At 40.5% G+C, this 9,955-nt stretch overlaps 2 annotated features.

Moving 5' to 3' along the window:
- Window positions 268-1,467: an enhancer, noted in NCBI's record as "P300/CBP strongly-dependent group 1 enhancer chr13:34730690-34731889 (GRCh37/hg19 assembly coordinates)". NCBI's record gives its function as "activates an origin of replication core promoter dependent on BRD2, BRD4, P300/CBP, MED14 and CDK7 cofactors, with strong dependence on P300/CBP, by STARR-seq in HCT116 cells {active_cell/tissue: HCT116}" and the evidence as "EXISTENCE:reporter gene assay evidence [ECO:0000049][PMID:35650434]".
- Window positions 700-759: a silencer, noted in NCBI's record as "silent region_5258". NCBI's record gives its function as "represses an Ori minimal core promoter by ATAC-STARR-seq in GM12878 lymphoblastoid cells {active_cell/tissue: GM12878}" and the evidence as "EXISTENCE:reporter gene assay evidence [ECO:0000049][PMID:35858748]".

Genomic DNA, 9,955 nt, shown 5'->3' with positions numbered 1-9,955 from the left:
AATACAAATAGGTATTCAGGGGAAGTAGTTAACTCTTTAAGAGCAGAAACTTTTGGAGTATTTTGCCAGCATCTCTTTACTGACAAACAGTATTACCATTATTTTCAAACTCATTCAATGAACCAAGTTAGATGAGAGCTTCTACACCATTGTGTGGGACTAATTGAGATTCTGGGTGGCCTGAGAATGGAAAGGCTCCTGTAGGTGCCATCTGTGTCTCTCACTTTGGGTACATTAACTTCTCTCTCCACCCTCCATGAGTTGCAGAAAAGCTGCTCTCTGAGAAGCTCGCTGTCTCCACCGTCCTGGGACCTACTAGCTCTGAGAGGGGAGGAACTGGGCTTACTGATCTTTTATTGGCAATGTCCATCATACAGTGAGTACTAAACATGTGAGCCACTATTATGTAAGTATATGTCATAGATTTACTTGCATTTTATTTTGAAATATCAATTCCATTTTTCTCTTCTTCATTCCTGCATCCTTCCCCTATCCCCCAGTCATTCCAAATGTGCCCAGCATTTAGCACAGCTCTGTTGGCCAAAACATGGATCAATTGCTTATTTTGGACAAACAAAGAACTTCATTCCTTCCTAGCAGATGTGTGTCTGTAAATAACCTCAAGAATAACCTTAAGAAATATTTTTTCTCTCTCTCTCTAATGACATTTAAAGAAATGAGGCTTTCTAGATAACAGGCTCCACGGCCATGTGAGCACAGTGTCTACACAGGTGGCTACTGCCCAGCCCTCAGTGGTCTCCTTAGAAACCAGCCTCTCTGCACGGTGAGTCAGAGGCGGCAGGAGGAGCTGGGCAGTGAGTCATGTCAGGAAACGGCATGCTCCGTGTGCGAGCAGATGCCGGTTTATTTCACTGATTCATTTCCACCTACTTCCTCCTACCTCTGTCTGCACTCTCAAATGAACAGAAAGTTCATTCATCTCGCCTCTTGCCTGTGATGCTACATGCTCCCCCTATTTCTCGGAATGCTTACCATAGGCCCCACAATGCTGGATGCCGTACAGATCAAGCCACCCCTGTTCTCTGCGATGGGACACTCTAAGAAGGAGGTGTCACCCACATTGTCATCCCTGGTTTTCAAGTTAACTGCCATGACGGACTTCATGATGAATTTGTGGATTTTCTCACAAGCCCTCACACCTCTGTCCTTTGAGCATTTTGTCAACAGTGGACAACTGCTGTGATTCTTAACACATTTAAAAAAAAAAATGTGATCGCCTGTAGTCAAGTTTCCCTGCTTTGGAAGGGAAGGGGATCCATTTTTCAACTCAGAATTAGAGGATGAACCTGTTAACAGGGAGAGGCTGAGAAGAGAAAAAATGGGGAGTTAAATTCAGCTCTAAACGCTATGGAGAATCAATAAATATCGACAGGCAAGGGGGCAGAAGGAAGGAGAGAGGTTTTGCCAACCTCAACTGATATCTGTTAATAATACCAAACAGCAATCTGTCATCAGCCTGGCAACACTGGATTTTCCCCAAGGAAAATCCAGGGTCCCCTCCCAGCAGTTCTTGGAGAAAGAGCTTAGAGTTCTGAGTTCCTGGGAGAGGATGGACTGTAGGCGGGATCAGAGTACTGAGATCCTGACAATTAAACCTGCTTACATTTTCCCTGCGTGCAGACATGGTGTTTGGAAACAGCAACCTCCAGTCATCTTGCTTAGCTCTTTGGGGTTCTGGTCATACATACATCTTTCTAAACTTCAAAAGTCTATGCAAGCACACTGACCTGGCAGGTTATTTGAATTCTTGTTCTGGTTTACAAGTCTTTCTAAGACATTTACACCAGAGCTAGAAGAAAGAGACCGGATTTTGGAAATTGCTCACAGGTTCGAGAGAGGATTACCGGAGCACAAGAGCCGGGCGGAGGTTGTCTACTTTTTCTGCTAAATTGCACAGTAGATTCTTTCAGACCTTGAGGAAGAGATTAGAGAAAGATAAATCAGAGTGTTATAACCCTGTGCTGAGTCACAGCTCTGAGGTTCTTTTATATTGCTGGAGGCAGCTTTCAAAATCCGCTGTTTGCGTGTGGCTAGAATAAGGATTTGTCCCTCAGTCTCAGGACGTATCCTGGTCGTGTCTAGTCCTTCAACCTATAATTCCAAATCAGATGAAATTTCTCTCCAGATATTGTGAAAAATACTCTCTATATCGCAAGGTTTTTTTTTTTTTTTTCCTAATGTGTAAACATTTCTCTACCTGGCATATCAGCAAGGCAAAGACCCAAATATTAATTGTCCTTCTCCTGATTGTGTGTGAGTCACAGGACTAAGCTCTGTGGGGTAAGAAACAAATTTTTGAAGACACAGTCTCTTGCTTCCAGGTAGTTGGTCCCAAGCTAATAATAATAGGTACCATCTATTGCAGTCTGCTGTGAGCCAGCCATTTCACATTCATTATCTTATTTAATCTTTCAAATAAATAAATCATGTGTTGTGATTTATGCTATCTTAATGGGTTAAAAAATCATAGTCAATTCTTCTGGTTCTGTTGAAATGTATTCATGCAGGTAAACATCTTTAATCCCATATTAAAAAATTAAGTTATTAAAATAAACGCAAATTAAAATGTAAGAATGTGAGTAGCTTGCAATGTAACAGGGCCAGTTTCTTCTTCATTTTACAGCTATAGAAACTGAAGTTCAGAAAACTTAAGTAAAAATGGCAAAATCCCAATTAGAACTAAGCCTTTGAGTCCAAATTTGAGTGTTTTCCTTTATACCACATTGCTTCCCTGTTCTAGTTTTAGAAACAACATAAATTCTTGAGAAGTTAAATAAAAATACAAAATTTAATGTTATGTCAAGTTAATTCAGGACATGCTACAAGACAGCAGAAAATAAATTTCCAAATGTGCAAGTAAGAGGATGCAGCCCCTACTGAGAGGGAGCCTAGCAAATTTGAACTAGGCCTTGAAAGTAAAATTTGGATACCTTGAATGCAGGGGTGGAGGTCAGTATTTTTCAAGTTTCCCTTTCTTTTTTTTCCTTTTTTTTAAAGAAATACTATTTGATATCTTTTATGCATTGCAAAGTATCTATGGATGGAATGAGATGTCTGGGATTTGCTTATATTACTCAAGAAAAAATAAGTAAATCAATACATTGGGGGGATAGATTAAGCGATGTTGGCAAAATGCTATTAGAGGTTTATGATAACTTCAACAGTGCAAATTATTCGATAAATGAGAGTTCATTGCTCTATCTTCTCTTCTTTTGTGAATGCTTGTAAAGTTCTACACTCACAACTTCACAAAGAAAGTGTAATTGCTGCAGAAGTCTTTGTGCAACTGAGGAAGCCCATCTCTAAGAACAATGATAAGAAACCCACCCTGAACTTTTTCAACAGGTAAGCTCATTTAAAGGTGATAACCAACAGCAACAGGAAAACAGGAATGTCCTCAAGAAATAGTCTAAATTTTAATGACAACATTGTGATTTAAATGAAGATAAACCTAAAAAGGCAGAGAGATTTCAGATATCAAAAGATTGATTCCATGACTCAAAAGCATAATGTGTAATCTGGAGTCAGAGGCAGGTGATATTGACTGAAGCATACGTCTCAATTATTTCTTGAGTTAGCTGGTTCTCCTCCTCTGCTGCTGTACTCTTTCTGTGCCAAATGAGTAGCTTTTCTTATTTCATCACCGCATTTTGACTCTAATCTGAGAACATAATCCTTATTTCAGTTCTAATAAAATTATATTTTTATTTCCATTCATAACAAAGCATCGCACAACAGTGTCATAATTACTATGAATTTCTTGCTTACTTTATTTCTCTTTAATTGGAAATTTCAAAGGATTTAACCTATTGTTAGTGTCTTGGTTATATCCACACACAATCAAATACATATTTAACCTCTCCTGGAACACAGCTAACAAAGGCACTTGTTTCAGAATTGGCCGGTGGGGGGAGTTTTTCAATTAGTTCATTATCCCAACATTTTATAAGCAGAATCTGTGAAAATTCATGGGCCAGATTTTATCAGCTCATGTGTGTAATGAGGAAGGCACGGAAATTATTAAATTAACTGATAGATTAACATACACTTGGGTACAAAAAAATGCACCAGGGCTTTTAGGATTTAACAATAGCTCATTATTTTGACATGACACTGTGGGATATGATGAGGTTTCTCTTCAAATAATCTGATCAATCTTTTATTCTTTAATTCATAGTACCCTCTCCTTTCTCCTTTTTCCCTTTCTGCCTTTGTCAGATGCCCAGGCGCCACAGTACCAGGCGTTATCAGTACCAGCTCACATTCCTTTCCTTATTTGGAAAGAGGACTAACTTTCCAGCTCATTACAGACACCGCTTCCCCTTTCCTCTCCACTTTCTTTTGCGTGCCCACCTTATCTTAAAAAATCAAATGTTTAGCCAACCGGGATTAGTTTAGGTTGTACGACCCGACCCCGGCCAATGGGGAAAGGTTACAGGGGCAGGACTTGAGTCAGGAATAAAGGCTCTCGTGCCCATTTGTTTAGGTGTGCTCTCATGGTGACTGGCCAAGGAGGAACCCCTCTGCACAGAGGTAAAATTGCTTTGCTAAGAATCCTTTGTTCGAGTGTTCAATTTTCTTAGGATTTTGAGAATTACTCCTAACAACACCCTGTGCCTAAAAACTACAAATGGGTTAGGAAGATAACTCATTTTGTCTAATTTAGTCTCTGAATTAGGAAGTTTCTTACTTGGGCTTACTTAGCTGGAAAAAGACCAGAATCTCTCCCAAGTCACCTGGAAGGGCAGAGCTTCCATGCAGGACTGCATGTTTTTTTGGCAACTAAAATGGTGTCAGGTCTGGGCCTGTCCTTTCCCTCACAGCAACCAAGTCCTCTCTACACACCTTCTCCATGTGCCTCTCTCTACCAAAGGCATTTTTCTAGCTATGCTGCCAGTATCAAGATACAAAATGAATACTGGCTATTTCTTGTTAAGCATATCCTGAATCCCCATCAATTTCTAAGTATTTCACACAAATTAATTTATTTGATCCTTTCAACAACTGCTGCCGAACTTTGACTTGCATGTAAATTGGTCTCATCTTGATCCAGAGTTAAACATATAACACAATTTTATCTTTGGTTTCACTAGTAACTCACTCAGCCTCTCCATTTCCAACTTCAGATTATAGAAAGCAAAGATCTGATTGCACCAGCTCATTTCTTGAGCCATGCTACACAAAGTCATCCTGTGGGTTAGCTTCCCTTCTACCCACTACAAAGCACTGCAACATTCAGCTATGAACTGCAGGCAGTTCACTTTGTTCAGAACATAGGACCAAAGCCAGCTATGCCTGTGAGTTGGGTGGAATTCCTGATAAGGAGTTGTAGGAGGGACAGGTATTATTGACATCACTAGGGTCGGGGAAGAAGCAGGATATCACACGCCTAGGAAATTGACCTATGATCTGGGAAGCCTTCTCTTGCCATTCACACGTGAATGGTGTGTGTTGGGACCTGCTCACATTTGGGCTGAGAGATGCATGAATGTGGTAACTAAGCAGCCCTCAGAGTCTGTGTCAGAGCCTGGCTATTACGTAGGTAGATCAAGGAGTTACTTACACAGTGTGGTTTGAGGGACCTCAAAAAATTCACTTCTTCCAAAATTTGTCTCCCACTGGCTGTAACTATGTCTTACATCCACCATTAAAAGAGTTCCTTTGGGTTAAAGTAGATGATAAGGAGGTTTCCTGCTTGCCTCTGTGTTCACCACTCCACCCTTCTCATTCTGCTTTGCAGTTGCATTGCAGCCTCTTAGCTCCTTCCACATGCTCCGTTCCTTTTCATTTACTCACAATGGAGAGTGCCCCATTCTTAAAGCCCTCTGATGCTTGACTAATTTCTACTTGCTCTTCAGGTTTCAGAAGACACTAACTCCAAAATCTGGCTCCACTAGTTATGTACTCTGGCCAATCTCCCTTATCAAAGCTCTATCTACCTACTGTGTACTTCATGTTTTATGAGTAGCCTTGACTTCAAACTCTCCTCTGAGTCAGGACAGCTGATGATTAACCTGGTTACAACTACATAATCAAACCCAACACAGTGCCTGGTACATGTTAAGTGCCAATATATATTTGTTAAAATGAATCAAAATAAAACTGTTACTTATAAGTGGAAAGTCATTAATCGTTGTTAAGCTGCAGACACAATTTACATCGGAGATTCCCTAGAAGGGTGGTGGGGCACGGTCCATAAGTCAAATGCATTTGGGTATTACCTAGAAAAGCTAAAACCAGAGAAGATAAGACCTAGCGATGAATACTCTAGGTTTGTATACTGTGGAGAAAGAGGGCATCCCCAAAGGTGAAGGTTGCATGTCAAACAATGCTGCCCATATCTAAGTTAGTCCCAGTTCACATAAGCTTTATTCTGGACCTGGTGTGACTTTTGTAGCAAAGCCTCATTGGCCTGTTGGTTCTGTTGGTGAAAGATATTGCATAGAGGAGTCTGGATAGGGGCCACAGAACCAGAAATGAGACCTATTCTACCTGCCAAGTCTATAAAAGGGGTGAGTGAAAATTCTAAGTAAGTAGACTCCCATTTCCATATTTGAAGTAGGTGATTAAGCTCTAGAAATGGACTCCAACTACTTGGGGGTCGATTAGTTCTTATGAACCTTTTCTCTTTTTCTCTGGTGAGGAAGTGTACATTTATTAACCAAATAAAACAGAAAAGAATGTTCTTCAGAGGAAAATAGATGGTAATGACCCCAAGGAGATTCAGTTTTTCATAAGACACAGTAGATTTTGAAACACAGAGGAATGCTTGATACTTGATAGGGACTCATTTGTCTTAAACTGAGTTTTACATTCATGTTTTACAGGGCTTTTCTATGAGTTACAAAGTAGTGGCTTAAACTGTTAAGGTTTGACCTGTGTTGATGATTGAGCTTCTTTTTTATTTGTTCGAACAAGAGACTAGTTTTGATTCACCCAGTCTTACAATTACATTGTGAAATCATATTTGAAGACGTATAATATAATAATCATTGTTGACAGATTTGATGCTATATGTCAGTCCTTTTTAAAATGTTTTTATTAATAATGTTCTTGAAAAATGTGATCAGGTGAAAAGAGGAAGGGAATAGATATGGAAAAGAAACAAGACAGAGGCAAAAATGAAGGAGGGGGGAAGAAAAAGGGGGATAAATCTCTCTGCCTTACCTCTCTCCTCTCTAGGCAAGACGGTTTACAGTCCCATTATGGTTTTCAACAGAAACTTTTACATCTCTTGGAGAGACATCTTCCACCCTGAATCGTACAAATGTAAGGTTTGAAGAGTGAAAAAAAAAAAGAATTTAGCTAGGATCTAAAAATATAAATTCCCCAATTTAAAGTTAGAATAGGAAAAAATGTATTTCAAGAAGAACCACCTCACTAACTGACTTTTAAAATATAGTTTTGCAATTTTTTTTTAACCTCAGTTTATTGATGGACTAGAGAGGAAAGATAACTATAATCTTAGAGAACAGAATTTTTTAAATCACATTTATATTTTAGGATGTTGCGGAAAACATTAGAAAAAAATCTTAGAGAGGGCCAGGCACAGTGGCTTATGCCTGTAATCCCAGCACTTTGGGAGGCTGAGGCGGGTGGATCACCTGATGTCAAGGGTTCGAGACCAGCCTCACAAACATGGTGAAACCCTGTCTCTACTAAAAATACAAAATTAGCGAGGCATGCCTGTAATCCCAGCTACTTGGGAAGTGAAGCAGGAGCATCTCTTGAACCCAGGAGGTGGAGGTTGCAGTGAGCCAAGATCATGCCATTGCACTCCAGCCTGGGCAACAACAGCAAAACTCCATCTCAAAAAAACATAAAGAAATAAAAATAAAAATAAATAAAATAAAAGCTGAGAGAAAGACAAATCAATAAAGAAAATTCTTTTAGCTAGGGAAAAAGCCTTTATGAAAAAAAGGAGTTGAAATCCAGGTACTAGGAAATATGTTTACAGGCACTGGAGGATGGTGTCCTTTGAATCTACCTTTTGGCAAGCAGGACTAAAGCACCTGAGGACTCGAATTAGTGGGGTTTTGTTCATGCTGTCTCTTGTAAAAGGTATTTAGATAAGGTGCCGTGAGTATTCCCTGAACCATGTTCACTCAGAAACAAGTAATTCAAGGGACTCATAGCCCTCCACCGTCTCTTTAGAACTAACAGGCAAGTCTCTGAATAGGAGGGAGGAAACAGACTGCCTTCAATAATGGATTCTGAGAATAGCTGAACAGCGTGGGTCTGCTGACAGCGCCCCCACTCCCTGGTAGACTGCTTCTGAAAAAGACTAGGGGAGAAAGAGTCCAAAATATAGTTCTCTAGGCCACCAAGAGATGTGGAATTGGATACGGCTCATGAAGAACTGCCTTTCACCCCAAAGTATATTACTATGCAGCCTCTATTTCACTGGAGAAAGAAATTGCATATAAAGATGGATGCTAGCGATCAGACTTCAGGTGCTAAGTCATGCCGTAACCGTTGGATCACCTGGGAGGGTAAGACCTGGGGAGGAGTCTGGGCAGAGATAATGAAAGGAAAAGAGTTGTTTCATTTCATCTGGAAGTTATCTTTTATCTACAGTTGTCACATTTTAACTGCTTTGATGCCATTTTCCCTCTAGAAATTAAGAACATCTTTTACTGGAGTCAGACAAAGTTGGACAACTTTTCCCATTTACAGAGTACGTGACTATGGATAAAGTACTTAACCTCTCAGTGACTCGGTTTAAAATGGAAATAGCAATGTTATCTGCCTCTCAGGGCTGTTATGAAGATTCAATGAGATAATGCTCATGACATGGATAACCTTGGATGTGGCTTTGTTTAAGCCCCGCAGAGACATTGGCACTACTGCTGTGGTGGCTGCTGCTCTGTGTCCAAGGGCCTTTCATTTTGTATTTAAGGATGGGGGAGAAGGAGTAGGTACAGGTGGGTGGTCAGCACCAGAAGCTTACACGTGACTAGTGTGTGTCTGTAATAAAAAGGAAAATAAGCCGTGAATTGAAGAAAGAAGATTAACATTAATGTTGTCTACAAAGGCCAGAAAACCAACAGAGATTTACAACAACAACAACAGCAACAAGAAACCCTAGAAAATATTGATTAGGTTCTGCAAAAGTAAATAAAAATAGTGTCAGTCAGCTAGCCGCTAATTCTAAGCAGTCCTATCCCCCAGCGTAGGACAGAAACGATTCTGCATATCATTAATACATAACAGATTCATTTTGCTGTAAGTTTAATTTGATTACTTCACTAAATTCTGTTATTAATACTCAGCCTTCTGCTGCTCGTGTAGCAGGGCCCCCTGTTCATGATTTTTAGAAATAAAAGGATGTATTTGCTCAATATCCACCCAGAAGGAAGGGACATGATGTCTCCCTACAGCTAGGATGAGAACGGGCTACTGTGGAACGTGAAGGGGAGAAGGCACGGTGGGCGCTGCTCTGGGACAGAGATGCTAATGCCAACAGAGCCACTTCCCGCCAACCTAAGGTGGGGAGTGATCCCCTCATATGCATTTCACAGGTCCAGTCAGATAACAAAATCCTCTCCAAGTCCTTCCACAAACAGAATTGAATAAAAGAAATGGGTTACAAAGGTGATGAGTTGAGATGGCAAAAAATAAAACTTGGAATAGCAGCATCCAGTCACCACCATGAATCTAAGGGTGGAGTGGCAAGAGGATGGGGTAGCCTTCATTCCCAGAGCCCAAGAGCAGGAAACAAAACTGTGGGAGAGGGTGGCACATGGTAGGTGTTAGAACCTCAGGGAGAGGTACTACTGACCAGTGTTAGAGCCATGAGGAAGATGCAGCTGCTGCCAGATCTGCAGATGGCTCCAAAGCTGAGCAAGATGGAAAAACCTACCCTATTTTTCCCTCTTCCAGCCTTGCAGCCTTCTGCCAATGCCTCCCATTGGCCAAAACTACCAGGAAGCCA

Source organism: Homo sapiens, chromosome 13 (genome assembly GCF_000001405.40).
Source record: "Homo sapiens chromosome 13, GRCh38.p14 Primary Assembly".
Classification (NCBI taxonomy): Eukaryota; Metazoa; Chordata; class Mammalia; order Primates; family Hominidae; genus Homo; species Homo sapiens.
The sequence above is the reverse complement of the archived record's forward strand: the minus strand, read 5'-3'. Positions and strand labels throughout refer to the sequence as shown.